This window comes from Homo sapiens, chromosome 10 (assembly GCF_000001405.40).
Source record: "Homo sapiens chromosome 10, GRCh38.p14 Primary Assembly".
Classification (NCBI taxonomy): domain Eukaryota; kingdom Metazoa; phylum Chordata; class Mammalia; order Primates; family Hominidae; genus Homo; species Homo sapiens.
Genome location: NC_000010.11, coordinates 6453399 through 6476337, shown reverse-complemented (window position 1 = coordinate 6476337; position 22939 = coordinate 6453399). Strand labels below are relative to the sequence as shown.

The following is a 22939-nucleotide window of genomic DNA, read 5'->3' as shown; positions in this document are numbered from 1 at the left end:
TTCCCCATTTTTTTTTTTTTTTTTGATTTGCATGTATGACAGTTTTCATGTCTTACGGGGAAGGCTATTGGGAATCCCACTTTGTAGAAGATAGGTATGCTCCTTTCTCTTGCCTGTCCATCACAGCTTCAGGCAGCATTTGTTTCTGTCCCTCTTATGAGAGATCTCCTTAACCCATTTATGCCTGAGGTTGCAACTTTTTGAATTTTGAAATCAGACCTTGGTGATGACCTTGAGCAGTAGGATATAAATAACTCCCACATGCTTAGCGTTCCAATAATGGAACACTAGGCATAAATGAGTTCCGTGCAGCTGGGATGCTTTACCAAGACCTGAGCCACAAGTGCATCCACAGCATTGGTGCTGGGAGAGAAAAAAAAACTTCAGCAGAGAATGTTTACATGAAATGTAAATCTGACTGGCTCAAGACTCAGATCTCAAGGAACTGAGTCCTTTTAGAAAGAGGAAAGAAACAAAGGAAGAAGCTTGAATCACCTTTTCCAACACCCCGAGTTGTTGTTTTTGAGATGTCTTAATTATTCAAACCTTGCTTGTCAAAGTAACTGATTAAATACCACAAGTGAATGCAAAAGGCAACGATTGATACGTGATATGGATAATGCTTTGTTCTGGGAACATGTTGGGAATGACCTTTCTTGGGAGGACAGTTACCTGTGTATGCTAGTGTAGACATCAGATAAGATAAATTAACTATGTACTTCTCCAGGGCATTGTTATTTTTTAAAGGAAGTTATTCATCTGCTCTCTGCCTCCAAAGAGCGCACCTGTTGAATACCAGATTATTCAGGAGATTCTGAGGACAGGTATTCACTTGTTATTAATTAGGGTCATTTGGATTAAATTGTTAAAGTTTTTAAAGTTCCTAGATGAGGGATATATCACCTATGGAAGGGTGAAAATATGATAAAGCCATTTAGGAAGCTACAAAATGTGAAAATTCCTGTGGACTTGGATTCCGAAGTTCAAGCCCAGCTCTGCCGTTTATCAACAGGGCTCTGAGGCACCCACTTTACCCCTGCCCAGGACAGAGAGTAAGAGTTACAGGCAGAGGGGCTGGGAGCTGTAAAACCAGGGGCCCTAATGGGACGGCACCGTCTGGGGACATAGATGTACAGGATAATTCATGAAATCTGAACCTGAATCTGAATGAGGCTCAAATCAAAAGAATCTTCACAATGAATTTTCTGTGTGCTAGATCAAAATGACTTTGTACATCATCCAGGCTCTGGCATAAATTACTGGCTCAGGGTCTAACGTAGATCAGCATTCTGAGAGGCTGCTGTCTTGGCAAGAGGAAAGAAGGGCTAGCTCTTCTTTCTTTTACTTTTTTTCTAACATTTCTTTGTTGTTAATATTTACATTTTCTGTCTTACAAAGTCTGCAGGGCTTGAAATTGCACGATCCCTTCTCAGTACCCCCTTCAGTGCGGATGCCAGCCAACTTTTGCACTACTAGATTTCCAACTTAGATTTTTAACAGTTTCCATTACTTACATTTTAAAAAGTAAAAAAATAGGAAAATCCACAATAAAATTTGTCTACAAGAAGAGTTGTCATAAATCTTTTAACTATCCACTTACAAGTAGATTTAAAACAATTAGAAAAAAATAATTAACCATAAAACTTTGAAACACAGGGAAAAATAAACACTGAAACAGTTTCCCTCTTTTTAGTTATGCTGCAGTAAAAGAAAGATTAATAACTCAAGTATCCAAAGTTTCTGTGTTCTATCTCTGATAAAACTGTGGAAAAATAAGAGGATTTATTTCTAAAATTTGTTTGGAAAGGAAAGATGCATCTAACACAGTAAGGATGCTATTTCTTTTTAATTTCAAGGAAATAATTTTCCCTTAAAAATTAAAAGTGAACTAAAGTCTACCTTCCTCTGTGTCTCCTTTGAATTCTGAAAGGCCGATCTGTATTCTGACATTTAAGTAGTGTTACTATTTCACACCTAAGTAGCTCTAGATCCTATAGGAACAGCTCTGTCTCTGGGTCGTTCCCTCAGGTTGGATTTGAGGGCAGGCCGCCGTGGTTTTGCAGGCCTCTGAAGAGAGGCCTCCCAGGGTGATGCCAAGAGGCAGAACGCTAGTGTTCCTGGATTCACATCACTGCCCTTGACTCCCACACTCCCAATATGCACCAGTTGAACATTCTTGGTCAATATCACTTTGAAATTTTTCTTTTATGAAAAAGAAAACTGAGTTTCACTTTCTATTCATAGAACACACAAAGCTCTACTTCCGGTTATGGCTTCAGGGCATGAGTGTGTGAGTTACTTTGAACAAGTCACCTAACATTTCTTTGTGACACTGGTTCTCCTTTTTTGCTTCCTAAGGATAACGTGAAAAATAATAATAATAACAATAATAGCACTTGCAGAGAAGTTTGGATCTTTTTTGGAGAAAGTACCATACTAACTACAAGATATTATTATCATTTAAAATTAAAAAGAAAAACTCCTTGAACTTGATACTTTTTAAAAAGTATGTCATCCTGGTATTTCCATAGTTTTAAGGCAAAATCCATCTAAGAAAGTTTTTAATTTCAAGCATTTTATTCAGAAACTGCTTCATCTGAAGCTCTCAAAAATGCTGCAATCCATGAACCTTTCAGTTGAGCTAGGAGCCCTGGAAATTACCACAATTGTAGCAAAGAAAAGAAAACCCACGGAAACCACATCCTTCCAAAGACGTGTCCCTGCACTAAGACAAGAATTAACTTTTCATGCTGCCCCCATCTGTAGTGACAGATAAGCCTCTTTTCTTTAACGTCCTCTGGCGGCGTTCTGATCCTGAGAACGCTTACACGTTGTTATTTCAGAAACTGGGGATCACTCAGACATTCTGCAGGTTCCCCTGCTATGTAACCAAACTGTGATTTGGCAAATGTTAGATTTTATAGCAAATTTACAAAAATGAGTCGATTTACAGCTGTCAACCTGAAATAATCAAAAAGGCCAGAATCTAATTTAAAGAGCATTTATTCAAACTCAAAGTTTGAGGATGGCCCACCTGGAAACACCCCAAAAGAATGAAGTCAGAGTTGTAAAGGAGGGAACTTTAGGGTTTCCATAGGGAGAGACAGAGGCATTTTTAGCAGGATTACATTTTTTCATACAAGGCTGGTGCATAGTTCCAGGAACTTGGTTACAGGCAGTGTTTCTTTTTGGGAAAGGGACATTTAACATCTTTTACAGAGTGTGCTATAGTCATGGGTTTTCTGTCATCTGGTCTAAGGAAAATAGGACAAAAAAAGGAAAAGGTAATCTTTAACAAGATTCATTAATTAAAAAGGCAGGAGGCGGCCAGGCACGGTGGCTCACACCTGTAATCCCAGCACTTTGGAGGCTGAAGCGGGTGGATCACCTTGGGGTCAGGAGTTTGAGACCAGCCTGGCCAACATGGCGAAACTCTGTCTCCACTAAAAATACAAAAATTAGCCAGGCGGGGTGGTGGGCACCTATAATCCCAGCTACTCAGGAGGCTGAGGCAGGATAATCACTTGAACCCATGGGGCGGAGGTTGCAGTGAGCTGAGACCACACCACTGCACTCCAGCATGGGCGAAACAGTGAAACTCCGTCTCAAAAAGAAAAAAAGAATAAAAGAAGTCAGGAAGTGTTTGTCCCTGACAATTGTTTAATTCTCTCTAGTCATTGTACAGAACAAGAGAAAAAAGGAAGCAAGTTAATCTATAATCTGAGAAACAGAAGTTGTAACCATATGTGACTCAGATCACAGTCGCATCTCTCTCAAGGCGTAAAACGCATTTTAGGAATTCTAACACCTTTTAAATGTTATTTATTTTCACACAGTAATTTATGGGAAATTAATGTTGCACTCACAATGTTTCCTTACAGTTTTCTCGTCCAAATACACAGGAAATAACGGGCAATGAGTGAATACATATTCAGGAATTCTTGGACTAAAAGAACAAGACACTCACTCAGTGCATCTGAAATGCCGCATCTTTCCTACATGCCTGCTTTTTTTTTGTTTGTTTTTTTCTGAGATGGAGTCTCGCTCTGTCGCCCAGCCTGGAGTGCAGTGGTGCGATCTCGGCTCACTGCAAGCTCTGCCTCCCGGGTTCACGCCATTCTCCTGCCTCAGCTTCCCAAGTAGCTGGGACTACAGGCGCCCACCACCATGCCTGGCTAATTTTTTGTATATTTAGTAGAGATGGGGTTTCACCGTGTTAGCCAGGATAGTCTCAATCTCCTGACCTTGTGATACACCCACCTCGGCCTCCCAGAGTGCTAGGATTACGGGCGTGAGCCACCGCGCCCGGCCCCTACACGCCCACTTTTTAAGCTCACAGATCTGTTCTCATCTTGATGTGACTCTGTAATATTCTTCCAGGCTCATGGCCCATATTATCTGCCCATTCCTTTGTCAGCCATTCTCACAAAGTCCCAAAAGTATTGTCACCAGCTTCCCAGAAGACATGAGCATTTGACATCTCCTTCAAGAGAGTGCCTCAGGAAAGTGCATGCCTTCTGTGAATCTACTATCCCTCTTTTGTTTTTTGTTGTTGTTGTTGTCATTGTTGTGTTTGTTTGTTTGTTTTGAGAAGGAGTCTCACTCTGTCGCCCAGATTGGAGTACAGTGGAACGATCTCGGCTCACTGCAACCTCCATCTCCTGGGTTCAAGTGATCCTCCTACCTCAGCCTCCCAAGTAGCTGGAATTACAAGCGTGCGCCACTGCGCCCAGCTAATTTTTTTTTCTTGGTATTTTAGTAGAGATGGGGTTTCACCATGTTGGCCAGGCTGGTCTCAAACTCCTGACCTCAAGTGATCCACCCACCTCGGCCTCCCAAAGTGCTGGGATCACAGGCATGAGCCACCATGCCCAGCCTACTCTCCCTCCTTTGAAACCTTGCTGACAAACTACCTACTCTATAAATCACGCTCAGATACACTAAATCCTACTTGTCATTCAGACGCTCAGGCTTCTCAGCTTACGTGACCCAGAAAGATGATTTTGCTCCTGTACTGCTGGGTGTCTTCTGTGACTTCTTTCATATGTTCTGTTTAAATAATACCTTGTCTATGTAAATAATACATTCCTTGATACCAAGATGCATGTTTCGCTCTTTTCTTTTGTTTCATTTGCCCGTAGAGTGCTAGATAATGTTCAGGGGCTGGGCACAGGGGGGAGCGGAAGAGAAAAAGAAAGATAAATGGTCTGACTGTAGATCATACTGGCTAACTCAGGTGCCAGGAAGGCTGGTCCCGAATAGAACTGCAGAGGAGAAGTCTATCTTTGACAAACCCTCTTCCCACCCCTCTCTGACCTCCTGTTTCATTATTTTCCCCTTCATCCCAGAGTTCACATGATCTTGTACCCACTGTAGCTATCAGGTCTCTGCCTTGATTTTTTTTTTTTTTTGCGACAGTCTCACTCTGTTGCCCAGGCGGCTCAATACAACCTCCACCTCCTGGGTTCAAGTGATTCTCCTGCCTCAGCCTCCCAAGTAGCTGGGGTTACAGGTGTGTGCCACCATGCCTGGCTAATTTTTGTATTTTTGGTAGAGATGGGATTTCACCATATTGGCCAGGCTGGTCTTGAACTCCTGACCTCTAGTGATCCACCCACCTCAGGCTCCCAAAATGCTGGGATTATAGGCATGAGCCACCGCGCTTGGCCTCTGCCTTGATCCTTGATGGCAAAATCGTTCTTCTCCATCTCCTTGTCTCTCCCCCTTAAAACTTCTGTCACTTCAGGAACCTCTTCTCCACCACCAGTCTTAGAGAAATATCTGATAAATAGCATAGAGCAGTTTAATATGTGTTGTTCCTAGCAACGATTTCTTCCTAAAGTGGAGCAGAGTGGAGTTTCCTTATTAGACCCAACATTACGTTGTATTTGAGGTGATTACAGTTCCCATCCTGAGGAGGTGACACGCATGGGACTCTTCAGGGGAAACTGTGGGAATATATGAGCGTCAGAATCAACGTACTGCAGAAATTCAAGTGCTAAACCACAGAAAAGCCCTCTTTTACAAAGTAGGAGGAAGAGCAGGGGGGAAAGGTGATAGGGAGGATCCCTTGGGGTGGTAAGAAGAGGAACAGAGGAGTTAGGAGTATCGGAGGACAGGAGAGGAAAGAATTTCAAGAGAGAAAGGATCATATATTTAATGTGGTGAAGAGTTGACAATCAAAAACTGAGTGTGGAATGTGTCATGGAGGAGGAACAGACAATACAGTGTGAAGGAGTGAGTGGTGGATAGGCAGATTCAGTGGTGATACAGAAATCTTCCAGAAAGAGTTTTCAGAAGATGGAAGCTCATTATGACTGCAGAGTGTAAGGGATGAGAATCATGGGAAATGCTTGAGCCAGAGATGGAGAAACCAGACAAGAGGGAGACTATTCAGGTTGTAGCCTTTTCAGATAGGCTTCTTTCACTTAAGAATATGCATTTAAGGGTTCTTCTTTTCTTTCTGTGGCTTGAGAACTCATTTTTCATTGCTCAGTAATATTCCATTGACAACTAATGATTTGTTATGTTCTTTTGTTTTCCTTATAATGACAGACTCCATGGATCAAGAATTTTAGAGTAGGGAGGGGTGGTAGAGGTTATCAAGTCAGATCCCCTCATTTTGCAGCAAAGGAAATGGAGCTCCAGAGAAGATAAGCCTAGCTGGTCACAGGAGAGTGCTCTTTTCTGTGGTCAATCCAAAATTATTAGTAAAGTTGAGACTTCAAGATACCTAAACACAAATCCAACTCACAACTTATTTAATTGGAAAATTGTTCATTCCATGTCCTAAACCTTAGACCCAAGCAAGAGGGGTTCCGCCCAGCCCCTCACTTAGAATCCTCCCTTTGGCCTTTCTCAAACCACACTCCTTCCTGTGAAGCCAAGAGGTCGTCTCTGTTCCTAAACTACTCCCCAGGACCTCGGAATTCCATACCTAAACAGCCTCAAGCCTGTGTAGACATCTCCCTAGGTTCTGTCCTTGAAAGGGGCAGGAGGAGACTTTCCCGATATGGCCAATTAACTGGTGCAGAATTTTGAGGGATCCTGAATTTGTCACGATCCTTCTTGGTCATTATGAAGTTATATTTCCCAAGAGACAGAACATATAGGAATGTAGAGCATATTTAATTGAATTGTTGGTGAGCTTGATTAATAACACTTAAACCTGGGGACCCACAGTGTGGGGCCTCCCTCTGCACACTCGCTCCAAATCTTGCAAAGGTTGGGGCTGTCCTTTTTCTGATTATAATGCAACTTAATGCTTTTCTTCCCTGTGTGATAAATAATAACAATGTATGTGATAAAGTTAATACATAAGGAGTTCTTGCTATATGCCAGGCACAGGGCTAAATACTTTATATGAATTCTTTCATTTAATTTTAAATATGAACGATAGCTCCCCTTTCTTCTTCAGAGCAGAATTCCCAACTCTTTCCATCGGCTGTCCTATGAGATGTCCCAAAGAAGAGTTGAATTCTATCTCTGGTTTTCATCTTGTTGTACTACAGTCTTCGCTGTTGTAACATTTGTTACGTGTCCTTAACATATGATACTTTGAAAGGTGTGATGGTAAATTTAGATGTTTTGTCATAAATATTTTGATCTTAATTTTATTTATTTTGCAGAGATTGCAAATATTCTCTTGTGTAAAATTTATTACGTTGGTTTACTAGCCTTCGGAGAAAAAAGATACCTCGAAAAAAATGACTATAATTATTCTTTTCCTTCTTTTCCCATCTTGTTTTTCTGGAGAGGGAGTCTACAAATCTGATCTTATTTGCATGATATTTGCCAAGTTCTCAGTGCATTTACAAAATTAACTGTTATTAGTCTGATAAAAATCATGAGTTTATTTCTTTAATGCTATAAACCTGTCATTCATCCTATAATATATGCACATTTGCCAGCCATTTCCTTGTTTACTCAATATTTGATTAGCTGTGTTGAATAGTCATCACAACTAAACACTTTTCCATTCTCTTTATTCTCATTCTCTCCTTTGAAAAGTGTAATCACTGTAAGAAGAAAGCAGTGTAGAAGCTAGGTTGTATTAAATAACTTTTGAGGCCACTTTTACAATTCACCCTTTACTAATTCTAGAATATTCACAAAATGTCCTATTCCTCCCTTTAAAGAACTATCTTGTGTTTTAAATAATGATATATTTTGACAGCTCTAGGACCTTTATCTGCTCCAAATGATATTTGTGTATGCAAACGCAGTCCTATGAGAATTATACAACTGATTTTGTTAAATCTATCACTTTGATCTTGTATTTAATCATCATTTTTTTTAAGACAGGGTCTCACTCTGTTGCCCAGGCTGGCTTTGGACTCCTAGGCTCAAGTGAACCTCCAGCCTCAGCTTCATGAATAGCTGAGATTACAGGCATGCACCTCTGCACCCAACTTAAATACCATTTCTTTAAAACATCAATAACACAAACATAAGAGTCATACAGCTTTGATTACCCACCTATCTACAGAATGTCAACATTGTTTATTGCCTTCAGTTGTCTGGAAATCACAACAAAGCTGTAGGTAATGGTGACTCTCTCATTTTCATGGACAGGGTTCATTTTTCAGAGGAGGAAACCAAGGCCCTGTGATGGTGGGATTTACCTGATCACACAGCTGATTAGCGACAGTCTCATTTCTCACAGACTAGAATTTCCATTCGACAGATGCTTTGCCAGGAGTTGTTGACAGTCGGCAAGACTGGGACGCGTTTGGCATGTCCCATCCCCCAATGCCATCACAGCTTCAATTCTCACCCACCGGAAAGAATCATTTGCCTCGGTTAATGTATTACCCGCCATAAAGACGTGAGGTCTAGACTAGTAAGTGACATTTACAATTAACCCAACACAGGCCACATTCTCTCCCTCCCTCCCTCCCCACCATCTCTCTCTCTCTCTCTCTCTCTCTCTCTCTCTCTCTCTCTCTGTCTGTCTCTCTCTGTCTCTCTCTCTCTCTCTGTCTCTCTCTCTCTCTCTCTCTGTCTGTCTCTCTCTGTCTCTCTCTCTCTCTCTCTCTCTCAGCCTGCTTGGTATCCTCTCTCAGCAGGTGGCCAGAACCTAAACGGCAGCCCAGGAGGGAATCTAATTCTGTTTTCTTCTTTCTTTCGAGAGCCATCGGCCAGAGAACTGTTCATTTGCTTCTTCTGGGAAGTATTTGCTGGTTTTTGGATTGGTTTTGGTTTTGTCTTTCCTGGCTTTTAAATTGCTTCCTAGAAGGACAGCTGCCATCAGTTATCAATTGCCCACTGAGGACCAATGCAGAGATTCATTTCCACACACACTATTTTGTTTAATACCCACAGCAACCCTAGGAGGTAGGAGTATTACTACCCCATTTCACAAACTAAATGAAGCTCAGGAGAGGTTAAGTCACGTCTCCAGAGTTATAAATAGAGGGGCTTTGAACCCAGGGCTGAGTAAGGATGAAGCCCACATTCTTTGCAATTACTCTGAGTCTCATTCTTCTTGGTTTGTTTCTATCTATGCCAGCCCAGAGTCTTTCCAGCAGGCAGACACTTCTTTTTGCTTGCGGTTCTGCAGAGGTTCTAGTCAGCTGTGGGTTGCCTTCAACTCTGAGCTCTCCTTCCCCAGCTGTTTATGAAAGTTTGAGCCTATTATATTTGTATTTACCTTTTATGATGGGATTTTGGATTCAGCTTTTAAAAGGCTTATCCATCCCTCAAAATGTGCTCCTCAAAATCCAAACCTCTGGACTGTGTAGTTTGTATGTGCATACATTTGTGCTAATTTTATCACAGAGCAGAACAGATATTTGACAGATTTATTGTGGAGCCTGCAGTTCTCTTGGGAGGGTTAAATGTGGGGCATCCAACATACTATAAATCTCCATTGCTGTTAATTAATAATCACTAGTAACGTAGTCTTCTTCTCACCCTCATGTTAGTAAACACTGACTGTGCCCTGTGATCTCTTAGACTTTAATGGCCAATTCAACCCCCCCAATGCTCACCACTAGTGTGGCGTCTGATTCAGACCTGAGAATAGGTGGGAAGGTGTGTGGAATGCATGGGAGTGGGGCTGAACTGTTGCCTCCAGTCCCCTCCCACCACTTTCTCCACATCTAAATTGACAGTGTTAAATTCTGAAATGTCAGCCTTTCTAGGAATTTGTAAGCATCCAAACACTTAGAAGAAACCGTTCACTCAAGCACTGTTGGAAATGGTTTCGCTCTACACTTTCATACGCTTTGCTCTCGTGACTACTTAAAAGAAGATTCCACCTTTGTGGCTTGTATAGGGCCATTATAGTTTGAGTAAAAAGCTGAGGTTAGAACAGAAGCTCTTTCTGTGGTGCTGATGAGAGCAAGAGGTAGCATGAGAAAGCAGGTGTGTGCAGGCAAAGCCAATGACGACTCTCAAATTGGGTTTGAAATCTGTGTTAAGTCATGATTTATGTCAGCTGAGAATTTGGGCCTGTCCAGAAGAGAAAAGGGTGGGCTTCACTTAAAGATATATGGAATTAGTAAATCAGATCGGAAACTAACATTGAAAAAAGACGGATGCTTACCTTGACCTGGATTATTGAGATAATTGCCACAATACTTGGTTTCCCCATTCTGTGGTGACCAGGCAAGGAGTCTCACTGTCAGACCAGAACAATGTTTCTACTATTACCTCCTATGCCCCACGGCCTCGGTTGGGTTCACATCAAAACGTAAAGGTTAATTCTGTTAAGAAACCACCCAGGTGAGACTTTCAGATGCAAATTCATGCCCAGACGCACCGAAGGTCCTCACACTTTATGGATTACTGATTCTGTGATGCATTACAACCCTTTAAAAAATCAGGTTTCTCTAAAGTGTTATAAATACATTTATTGGAAAAAAAAATTGTCTCACATCATTGAGTTGCTGAGGCTGGTTACAATCCTGGCTGATATGCCCACCACAGCCTGAAGACCACCCAGCCCTACTTCTGACTGTGGCCACTCGAGGGCCCCAGCTCTACTGACATACATCATGTCCTCTGCCAGAAGAACTCCGTCATAAACTGTGGCTTGCCTCTGCCATGAGTTAAGTCAGGACTGGAGAAAAATAAGGTTAAACTTGATTGCAAGCTTCAGGGAGGAATGACTGACATGACCCGCCCACTCCCCCCACGCCACGCCCACAGAATATGCTCAGTAGCTAATTACTGAGTGTTGAGTGAATGAATGTTTTCAAGCTCCGCCCTTGGAGTCAGAGACCAAAACACATTCTCCTTATCACCCTGCACCCTGTCACTTTCAATAAGTATACAATCGGCACATGCTAAGTGCCCTAAGTGCCTGGCACCATCCCATTGTCTGGCCAGCAGGTCAACTGGACTCTCCCTTGTGCCCCCCGCTCATCTGCTGGGTTGTAACACGCAAGCATCTAGATGCCACAGGGCATCCCACCTAGATTCCCCAGGCTTCCTGGGGCTCAAAAACATAGATTGTTTAAATGATTTTGACAGTCTTCTGATAAGTGATTTCACAACAGAATTAGTTCCCCTGAAATGATCTAATCCATTTAAAAAGTAGTCCTCCTTGTTGTATTTTCTCTAAAGAGCTAAAAATTGGAACTGTGACTGGGTATGGCGGCTCACGCCTGTAATCCCAGCACTTTGGGAGGCCAAGGTGGGCGGATCACCTGAGGTCAAGAGTTGGAGACCAGCCTGGCTAACATGGCGAAACCCCATCTCTGCTAAAAATACAAAAATTAGCTGGGCCTGGTGGTGCATGCCTGTAGTCCCAGCTACTAGGGAGGCTGACGGGAGAATCTCTTGAAGCCAGGAGGCGGAGGTTGCAGTGACCCGAGATCACGCCACTGCACTCCAGCCTGGGAGACAGAGTGAGACCCTGTCTTGGACAAAATAAATAAATAAAAATGAAATGAAATAAAAGTTGGAATTGTTTTGTTTTTCCACAGGAAAACCTCTTTTTTGTGATGGAGTACCTCAACGGAGGGGACTTAATGTACCACATCCAAAGCTGCCACAAGTTCGACCTTTCCAGAGCGACGTAAGAGGCTTTAAAGGGTTTGGGAGTTTTCCACTGTTCTTGTCAGTTCTTGCTGGTTTTTTTTTCCTTTTTTCCCACTTGGCATGCCTGAATCCCAGGGCCAGGTGAACCCTTGGGAATACATCGAGCAAGGCGACAGTTTTCCCAGGTTGTGAAACTGAAATTCGTGTCAGTTTGGTTTCATTTCTCTGTGATTTAAAACTAACTACTTAGTTTCTTAAGGAACCATCCCGATTCATCAGGCTTCTAACTAACCTGAGCACAGAAGCAAATATGTAACCTTTGGAAAGGAAGCAGTGAAATGGACTGCAGACCTCAAGGGTGGTCCCCAGGGATGGAGCTTGTAGCTGAGGCATCTTATGGAAAGCCTGATGTGGAGGCATAAAGCTTTAGGGAGCAGGAAGAGGCACTTAGTCCATCTGAGAACAAAGCTTCTCCTTCCTAGTGCCGGCAGCCTGAGACACCTGGAGACGGGGCAGGCTGTGTGTACCTGGTGGGACTGCACCTGCATCCACAGTTCTCACCACCACTCCTGCCCATGCTGTTCCCTTTGGGTCCCACTTCCTGCTCCCCATGACATGCAAGTAAAAGAAAGCTCTGCCACTGGGCTCCTTGGAAAATGATGAGTACATGCTAGCTTCCTTTGCTCAGCGCTCAATAATCCCTCCCTCCCATCTGCATGAACACTTTGAGTGGTTTAGGTTGAAGTGGGTTGAGAAATGGATTTGGTCCGCCAGCTTCTTAAAATCCCTGGCTGGAATGGCTGTTTATCACATCTAGTGGGTAGCACTCTGCTGAGATCATTGCTCTGGGAAACCTCAGCAATGCACCCAGAGGTAATTTTACTGGATTTCTGCAGCAGAGAAATCATCGGGCATTTTTCATGCCGGAAAGAATTCACTTAGTCCACTGTCGTCTCCAGCCAGCCCGGACCCACGCTATCCATCCTGTCCTAAATGCCTTCCAGGAAGGAGAATTTTGCATTCTTCCACAAGATCCAGCAAGCTTCCCTTCCAGGAAGCTATCTCTTATATCCGACCTTAATCCCACCAGTGATGGGGTAAACTCATTTCCTTTAACCTTGTCACCATTGAAGATGAAGTGTAACTTATCTTGCATCTGCTAATATCCTCTTTTCCACCTCATGGGCTGTAAGTGTTGCCCAGGCTAAAGGTTCTCAGTACGAAAATAAACCAGCTAGTTCTATTCAGAATGGTGCATACAGGTCTATGGGTGCCAACCAGAGTTTAAAACAAAGGGAGAAATTATTTGCCTATTATCTATACTATTACTTTTTTTTTTTTTTTTGAGTCAGAGTCTTGCTCTGTCGTCCATGCTGGAGTGCAGTGGTGTGATCTCAGCTCACTGCAACCTCTGCCTCCCAGGTTCAAGTGATTATCAAGCCTCAGCTTCCTGAGTAGATGGGGCTACAGGCGCCCAACACCATGCCCTGCTAATTTTTGTATTTTTACTAGAGATGGTGTTTCACCATGTTGCCCATGCTGGTCTTGAACTCCTGACTTCAAGTGATCCACCTGCTTGGGCCTCCCAAAGTGCTAGGATTACAGGCGTGAGCCACCGTACCTGGCCTATACTATTACTTTTAATGTCTGTGTATGTTTTATTAGCAATAGCAAAAACAACAAAAAAAATGACAATGTGAGCATTATTGTTTAAAATATAAGAACAAGTACTAGATACAGGCAGGACTCACTTAAGATGCCAGCTCTGTTTTATGCTGTTAGGACTGAGGCTGGAGGTGTCTGAGCCTCTACTTTCTTATGTGTAGAATGAATGGACAACATCTTCCTTGTTAGGATTAAACAGAGTTATGTGTGTATGCCATTTAGCCATACACAGCATGTCAGAAAAAGGTCAGTCTGGGTTTGGGATTTTATTTCGTTCCATGACAACATTCATGTTGAACCTTGGTTCTCCTTCCCCCAGGTTTTATGCTGCTGAAATCATTCTTGGTCTGCAGTTCCTTCATTCCAAAGGAATAGTCTACAGGTAAATTTTGCTTTGTGGAAACAAATGCTAAGATATCGGCTTTCCTGGCTCAGTTAATTTAATCATTGCACCGAGTGCTGTGAGACAGCCCATGTGATTTCCTGGGAGTAAGCTCCACACATAGGTCTGCTGCCCACAATGATTACATGGATGATGACTTACAACCAAGGAAGACATTCCAGTCTCAACAGCAGGAAAGTGCTGAGCTCATTCTGTCCTTTATGCTGGTTCTCACTTGAATTCCTTCTTTCACCTTCCTTTTCCCATTTTCACTGTCCTGTTTTCTCTTTCTTATCATACCTTACGGTTTCTTTCTCTTTTGTCCCCTTCATACCTCTTATTTTTGCTTGTCTTTGCTTTGAGCCACCTAGAAATGCTTATGGAATTTTCTTCTTCTCTGCTGTATGACATCATTTCACGTTCTTCTGTCCAAGCTCTTAGATTGACACTATTGTATCTCAATCTCCTCACTTCTTTTCTCAAAATGTAGTTGGCACTTATTTAACATACAAACCTTTACAAGCTTACTGTCAGATTTCCAACTCACTGCAGATTAGGAGGAAAAATAGAAAGGAAAAAAAAGAAAGGATCTAGTGAGGAGGATGGCTGAGCTGCTGGAGAGCAGATAATTAGTATTGAAGCTTTGGTGCTTACAGAGTGTAGAATTCACTTAACAAGGAAGGATCTCTCCATTTTCTGAGGGTGCAGTCAAGTGAGGGTTGCCCTATTTGGAGTCACACAACTAAAGGCTTAGAGGAGGTTTGAGAAGTAAGTATTCTTAAGCAGCCTCTTTGAATGTAATTTTTTTTGGTCTATCTACAAAATCATAGATTAAGAATCTGTTTTATAATTTTTTAATCTTCAGGAAATTGAGAAATACTCACCAGAATATTATTTTAAAACTCTTAGCAGAATTTTTTTAAATTTTTCTTTATATGTGTAAGGCCTGCAATGTATCTAAAATATTTTTGTACCTAGGCACTGACTAAATTGTGTGGGGTGGATGGATAGATGGATGGATGGATGATGGATGAGTGAACAGATGGTTGGATGAATGGATGAACAGATATTTGGATGGATGGATGGGTGTGGATGGTTGAATGGATGGACAAATGATGGATGAATGATGAATGGATGAACAGATGGTTGAATGGATGGATGAATGGATGGATGTGGATGGATGGATGGATGGATGGATGGATAAATGATGGATAAATGATGGATGAATGATGAGTAGATGAACAGATGGTTGGATGGATGGATGAATGGATGTACCTGGATGGATGGATGGATAAATGATGGATGGATGAGGAATGGATGAACAGATGGGTGGATGGATGATGTATGGATGATGGATGGATGGACAACGGATGGATGAACAGATGGTTGGACGGATGGATGGATGGGTATGGATGGATGGGTGATGGGTAAATTGAACAGATGGTTGGATGGATGGATGGGATGGATGGATGGATGGTGATGGATGGGTGGGGAGATAAATAAATGAAAGGGGCTGGGCACAGTGGCTCACACCTGCAAATCCCAGCACTTTGGGAGGCCAAGGCAGATGGATCACCTGGGGTTAGGAGTTGGAAACCAGCCTGGCCGACATGACAAATCCTGTCTCTACTAAAAATACAAAAATTAGCTGGGTGTAGTGGCCCTTGCCTGTAATCCCAGCTACTTTAGAAGCTGAGGCACAAGAATCACTTGAACCTGTTAGGCGGAGGTTGCAGTGAGCTGAGATCACACCATTGCACTCCAGCCTGGGCAACAGAGCAACAGTCCATCTCAAAAAATTTAAAAAGTTAAAAAAAAAAAAGGGGAAGTAGGAATAAAAATTAGGAGGGACTGGAGAGAGAGAGAGACAGAGATCTTAGACTGGAAGGGACCCCGTGAAACCTAAACCCACATGCCTCGGGGCATTTTATTTCCCTGTGTCACAAAGCTTCTTTCTATCATGTCACCATGTAAATTATTAACACTCAGAACAAAAAAAAAAAAGCAATAGATGTCCATAAGTAGCTTTACTATCACAACAAATTGTACCCATTTTCGAGTCTTACCCTGCCCATGCATGGAAGTTATGTTCTTTAAGCCTTCTTAGGCACCAACAAGAAAAAAAAATGAGTTTATTTTTTGTGCTCATTAGGTTGCAGGAGACCCTTGAAAGTCATCATCAAATAGTTATAACTGAGGATAGGTCACCAGACAAGTATGCTGGCTTTAAAACTGGCCTGCTGCATAATAAGAAATAAGTTGCCTTATAATAAGTTGAATAGTAAGAAATTATTCAACTGTCTGTGTGTAATTTGACTCACCTAAACTTTTAATTTGGCAACTGAATTAACAAAAGGATTCAATTCATTTCTTTCTTTTGACCTCATAGGATAATAATTTTCTGAATTTGTTCACAAAACTGATACATTAGTTTTGAAGGGCTGCCATAAGAAATTACCCCAAATTTGGTGGCTTATTCTGGAAGCTAGACATTTGGAAGCAAGATGTGGGCAGGGCCATGCCCCCACCAAGCCCTCGATTTACCAGCCTCTGGTGGCTGCAGGCATTCCTTGGCTTGTGGCTGCATCACCCAGTCTCTGCCTCTGTCTTCCCATGGCCTTCTCTTGCCCCCATCTGTCTTTTCTAAGAACACTTGATGGATTTAGGGCCCACCTCGATAATCAAGGATAATCTCACCTTGATATCTTTAACTTAATTACATCTTTAACTTAATTACATTTGGAAAAAAAGACCCTTTTTCCAAATAAGGTCACATCTACAAGGTTCTGGGGGTTCTGACATGAACATACCTGGACATATCTTCTGGGGGCCACCATTCCACCCATACAGCTGATATCACAGACCATGTGTGCTCTGGATGTGCAGGTCTTTGTCAAGCATGGCAGTGGGTACTAAACATAGAGAAGTCCCAACCCCCAGAAACCTGATGAGCCACTTTCTGGGGTTTCTTCAGAGGTAGAATGGATTGATGATGAATGGATGAACAGATGAAAAGACACAAGCTGTACATTCAAAAAATGTCCAAGTGAATGTTATTCCAATTAAAAGTGCAAGAGCTGAAAGGAAAAAATATATCACCAGACTTAAGTAGGGGAGATGGCAAACAAAAATTCTTCTGTGAAGGTAGACTTTTTAGAGTGGAAGAGGCTTTGCAGATGGAAGAAGTGACTCCAGGAAAGGCACAGCAATAGGAAAATGGAGGAATATTCAACAGGTGCATCCAGCTTCAGGGGCAAGGCTGCTGTTGGTCGATGAAAAGCATGAGATGTGGAGAAGCAGGTGTGGTGGCGTCACTCACCATCTGCCAGAGGAACCACAAAATCGACGGCATCTTCAAAGATGATGTAAGCCCTGGTTTGGGTCAAATGTAAAACCACAGAGCCGGAAAGTATGCAGATGTGGAAAGAAGAATCTAGAACTTCCAATCTTAGAGTATTAGAACTAAGAAGAACCTTAAGATTATATTTTATTGACAATAAAACTGGGCCCAACCCATGTGTTTGAAGCCACTTTCAATGCTTTCACGTGATTCTCATTGGACGTTACAGGACCCCATGAGACAAGCAAGGCAAGTGTCATGGTCCCTGTTCCTTGGATGAGTCTTGGAGGCTGCCAGAGGGGAAATGGTGAGGCGGAGCCAGCCGGCCGTAATGCTGGGATTGGGAAGCCAACTGTGATGCCCACTCCACCTCTTCCAAATAGAAAAGCTTTGCCTCCGTTAACCTCATGATGGAATGAAAGGGTGCCCCTGGATGTTCTCTTCTGCTTGATGCCATGATGGCCTGCTTCTCCTCTGACAGATGAAAGCTTGCAGAGACATGCACAGGCTGTGGACTCTGAAGTTCTCCCCTGGGTCCTGATGCCCCATAGGGTGTAAGCATGACATGCCTCAGAATACCCTGGGCCTCTGGGTTCTCTGCCCTCTCCAGCTGGCTCCAGGGGTCCTCACTGGTCTTCCTTGGCACTCCTTCCTCACCCCCATGGGGGGCTGGCTTCACATGGCAGCCTTTCAGAACCTTTCCCATATTGACCTAGATCCCTCAGAGCTGGCCAGGCGCAGTGGCTCACGCCTATAATCCCAGCATTTTGAGTCTGAGGCAGAAGGATTGCTTAATGTCAGGAGTTCATGACCAGCCTTGGCAACATAGTGAGACCTTGTCTCTACAAAAAATTTTAAAAATTAGCCAGGCATGGCGATGGCACACATGTGGTCAAGAGTCTGAGGTGGGAGGACTGCTTGCTCAAGAGGTTGAGGCTGCAGTGAACTGACATCATGCCACTGCACTCCAGCCTGGATGACAGGGAAAGACCTCGTCTCAGGGGAAAAAAAAAAACCTGATATCAAGGGAAGCACCTGAATTATCTTTAAAAAATCAATTTCACAAGTACAGAATGAGAAGAAACTGGGATAATGGCACTTCATAAAGGAAAGCAGAAAAACACCTGAAGGTTTTAGTTTACAATAAACTCAATATTGGGCATTACTGTGATGAAACTATGAAAAATATGGTGCAGGATCTTAGTCCACCGTGGCAAAAGGCAAGAGGATGGTAATGGAGCTCTGGGTGCCGCTGTAACCTGCACCAATCAGATTGTCTCTCTGGAGGATTCTGGCTTCATTCTGAGCCAAGTCAGTCGAGAAGAAAACGGACAAATTCAAGATATTTGGAAGGTAGAGGCCAGAATGTTTGCCCTTCATCCAGTTTCCCCCAGTGGCCACATCTCATGCAGCTGTGGTACAAGGTCAAAAGGGTCTGAAAACCACATCATGAGGAGCGAAGTCCCTGATCTTGGTGAGAGAAGAGAAAACTTGATGTCATTTTTTTCAAATATTTGGGGTGTCACATATGGTAACAATAGAAAGCCCCCTTGGACCAATAGGTGACATCACATGGAAGCAAAGTTCGGTTAATTGTTTTTTAAAAAATATTATCAGTTACATTTCCCTAAGAATGGAATGGGTTCTTTTAAGAGGATACTAGTTCTCCAAGGAAACAGAAGTTTGTTGGCATGACATTCTGGCGTTGGATGGATTCCGGTTCTCAAGGGGTTCAGTATTAGTTAGGAACAAACTTCATCAACTGGACTTGGAATTAGGTGCAGTATAATTCATTCACAAATATGTAGAAAATGGCATACAGTAAGTATATTTTTTAGGTTTTCCTCCTTCGTCATTACCCTCAGGAAAGTCCTGGGATCAAGGGTCTCCAATGGGTATGGGTGCTCTGTCCTCCTTATACTGAGCTGCACCCCTTGGTAAATCAGAGAAAGAATCCATAGCAGCCAGCGTGCCCTTGCAGAATCTGCTTTGTCTACACCCCACTTGGTGTGCAAGTGGATAGATACATAAGCGCCTCTCGTGAGCCCCTCTCAGGCTGCAATGAGACAAACTCCCTCGCCTCCTATGGAATTTTATGTTAACCAAATTATATTGATTAATGTGAGATTTGCTTCACTTTTGTTTTTCAGGGACCTGAAGCTAGATAACATCCTGTTAGACAAAGATGGACATATCAAGATCGCGGATTTTGGAATGTGCAAGGAGAACATGTTAGGAGATGCCAAGACGAATACCTTCTGTGGGACACCTGACTACATCGCCCCAGAGGTAGGAATGCAGTGACAGGCTGCTCCCACCTCACCATGCCCTGGCCACATGCCATTGCTTCTTTAGCCCCTGAAAATCAGAAGGTTTTAAATATCTTCATTCAAGATTTGTACCTGTTTTCTTAAGTATCTCATAAACGCCACCATGCATGTGGGTTTCTATTATTATTTTGTGGGGAGCGCTACTTTTACAAATCACATCTCTCCAAGGCTTGCAGAGTTTGGCATTTCCTTTCCCCCAGCCTTAAAACATATTCACTCTGCTCAGACCTACCAGAAGGAACAGCTAGTGAAGAGCCAGGTGGAGCAAGCGTCCACCCAAGTCAAGTGGTGAAACTGTGGGGTCAGAAGACCTGGACTGAGTTTCTAAGCCACCACTGATGTAAGCACAGAGTGATTGCCAAAGTCTCACTGACTTCCATTTCCTCTTCTGTAAAATGGGTATAATGCTGATGTCATTGTGTTATTGTGAGCATTAGATGAGAAAGAGTGTGAAAGTTAAAACTCACCCCTGCCCCCATTAAAAAATAAGAAGAAGACACTGCTGTCACATTCTGGACACACAAAGAAGTGACATTTGCACAGAAGGCATCCATCAATTCAACTAAACCCACCTCCCCCCTTTTCACAGAATCCTCCCCAGCTGCCCACCCAGGGAGATTAGTGACACCCCTCCCACTTGGTCTTTCCCATGGCACAGCACTTGTTCTGGTTGCTTTTTCATCTTCAAATCTCCCTGCATGACTGGATATTTGCTCTGCAGTCATGGACAGATTCATATTCACTTTTTAAAAATTTTCATTTCGAAATAATTGTAGATTCACAGGAATTTGCAAAACATAGTCCAGAAATATCTCCCAACTGTGCCCTTCATCCAGTTTCCCCCAGTGGTCACATCTCATGTAGCTGCAGTACAATGTCAAAGCCAGGAAACTGATGTCCATCCAAAGTGTACATGGTGCTATGCCATCTTCTCTCATGGGTAGATTTGTGTGATCTTGTTCACTTTTACATCTAAGGACCTAGTGCAGGTGTTGGCATATTAAGGTGCTAATAGATACCTTCTAGAAGAGTAAATGGATGAACTAACTAATAAACGTGTGATTGGAGATGGTTGTTTGATAAAGACTCTGGCAGACCTCTGATTTCCTGGGTAAAATTATTCAGCAGCAAGTTCCTGTCATTGCCAAAGGAGTTGTGGCCATCTGAGTCCTAGAACTATGTAGCTTTGCCCTGTGGTTGGGTGATATGTAATTTGAATTTAGCCTTGGCTTCTATTCCATGAGGAATGATGTCTTTTAGCTTACATGGCATTGTTGAACTCACAGAGCGAGGCTTATTGATTAAATAACTTTCTGATCGTAGAAATCTATGTTTCATTCAGTTTGGCACAGATACAGGTTTTGATGCTATAAACCATTTTCATTTGAAGTGAAACCAAAGCTCATCAAAGCACGAGTGATGGGGACTTAAGAGGACGGACTCAACTCAATTACTGAATTCCCCTTTGTAACAATTCTGAAATATGCCCAAATGCACTCTGCTCAGACCACCCTCACTGCCATCCCCAGCAGCAGTCTCCTTTGTCACTCCCTCAGCCTCACCTGAGCCATCTCAATTTCTTTCCTCTTCACCTTGCAACACCTTGGTGTGGCTGCCTTACTCTGATGTATTCCTGTCTACAGATTTTGGGTGCCGGGTCTTTTCCACGGCAAACCTTCCTTCCCGATTTCCATCTGCTTCTTGCAGAATCCGGCTTCCACAGCTTGCTTCTCTCTGCAGCTTCACTCCCTTCTTTTCTTTTACGTGTGCTTGTCTCCACGTGATTCAGTGCTTGGTCCTCTTCTCTTCTTACTCTACATCCTCCACGAGCAACTTCATTGATGACTGTGGTCTTCGCTGTAGAGTCAATATGGCCCACCTGCACTTCTTCCTGCTGCAGACACTACGTCCACTTTCCTGCTTGAGACCTCCAAGTAAATGCATGAGTCCTTCAAAGACAGCAGGTCCAAAACTCTCTCTGTTGAACTTGCTCCCTACTTCACTCTTTCCTTTTCTTTCTTGGTGAATTACATGTCATCCATCCAGTCTTCTAGAGAGAAAACTAGGAATTATACAAATTTCCCCTTTCTTTCTTACCCTTCAAATCCACCCAAACACCAACACCTTCTATAATTGGACCCTCTCATGTCCATTCACTGCCCTAAACTTGTGACTGAATTCAGACTCTCCCTTGATTCCTTCTCCAAGCTCAAACAAATCCCCTTGATCCAGCTCCGCCCAGATCTCCAGGTCCTCTCGCCCTTACTGCTGTTACCCTAGTGCAGAACATGAGCATCTCTTGCCTGGCTCTTGGTGACACCCTTCCATCTGCTTTCCTCCCTTATCATCCATCACCAGGGCATGCTCTTTACATATCTTCATGCCTTTTGATCTGTTAGAAAAGCATCCCCAAGATCTGTCTATTTATATATGAATCATATACATTGTCACCAGCTAAGATAGACTGTGTGTTATCAATGCCTAAAAAGGAATATGATCAGGTTATACTAACAATAATATATAGTTTAAAATAACTAAATTGCATTAATTTATTTATTATTATTATACTTTAAGTTTTAGGGTACATGTGCATAATGTGCAGGTTAGTTACATATCTATACATGTGCCATGCTGGTGTGCTGCACCCATTAACTCGTCATTTAGCATTAGGTATATCTCCTAATGCTATCCCTCCCCGCTCCCCCCACCCCACAACAGTCCCCAGAGTGTGATGTTCCCCTTCCTGTGTCCATGTGTTCTCATTGTTCAATTCCCATCTATGAGTGAGAACATGCGGTGTTTGGTTTTTTGTCCTTGCGATAGTTTACTGAGAATGATGATTTCCAGTTTCATCCATGTCCCTACAAAGGACATGAACTCATCATTTTTTTATGGCTGCATAGTATTCCATGGTGTATATGTGCCACATTTTCTTAATCCAGTCTATCATTTTTGGACATTTGGGTTGGTTCCAAGTCTTTGCTATTGTGAATAGTGCCACAACAAACAGATGTGTGCATGTGTCTTTATAGCAGCATGATTTCTAGTCCTTTGGGTATATACCCAGTAATGGGATGGCTGGGTCAAATGGTATTTCTAGTTCTAGATCCCTGAGGAATCGCCACACTGACTTCCACAATGGTTGAACTAGTTGGCAGTCCCACCAACAGTGTAAAAGTGTTCCTATTTCTCCACATCCTCTCCAGCATCTGTTGTTTCCTGACTTTTTAATGA

The 22939-nt window shown here is 42.7% G+C and overlaps 1 protein-coding gene across 9 annotated transcripts in view, besides 2 other annotated features; it reads left to right on the top strand.

Annotated features, from left to right (window-relative positions):
• PRKCQ (protein kinase C theta) overlaps nucleotides 1-22939 on the top strand; it is a 186550-nt gene that overhangs the window by 104309 nt on the left and 59302 nt on the right. For all 9 annotated transcript variants that reach the window (NM_001323267.2, XM_005252497.5, NM_001323265.1 and 6 more), the window contains 3 exons: nucleotides 11934-12025; nucleotides 13973-14035; nucleotides 19526-19664. In NM_001323267.2, coding sequence (NP_001310196.1) covers nucleotides 11934-12025; nucleotides 13973-14035; nucleotides 19526-19664 — 294 coding nt within the window. The remainder of the gene's footprint in view (nucleotides 1-11933; nucleotides 12026-13972; nucleotides 14036-19525; nucleotides 19665-22939) is intronic.
• Nucleotides 2159-2338: an enhancer, noted in NCBI's record as "active region_2968". NCBI's record gives its function as "activates an Ori minimal core promoter by ATAC-STARR-seq in GM12878 lymphoblastoid cells {active_cell/tissue: GM12878}" and the evidence as "EXISTENCE:reporter gene assay evidence [ECO:0000049][PMID:35858748]".
• Nucleotides 17028-17197: an enhancer, noted in NCBI's record as "experimental_14123 CRE fragment used in MPRA reporter constructs". NCBI's record gives its function as "activates a minimal promoter by MPRAs in K562 erythroleukemia cells, with activity observed for both the introgressed and non-introgressed 10:6501188 variant alleles {active_cell/tissue: K562}" and the evidence as "EXISTENCE:reporter gene assay evidence [ECO:0000049][PMID:34662402]".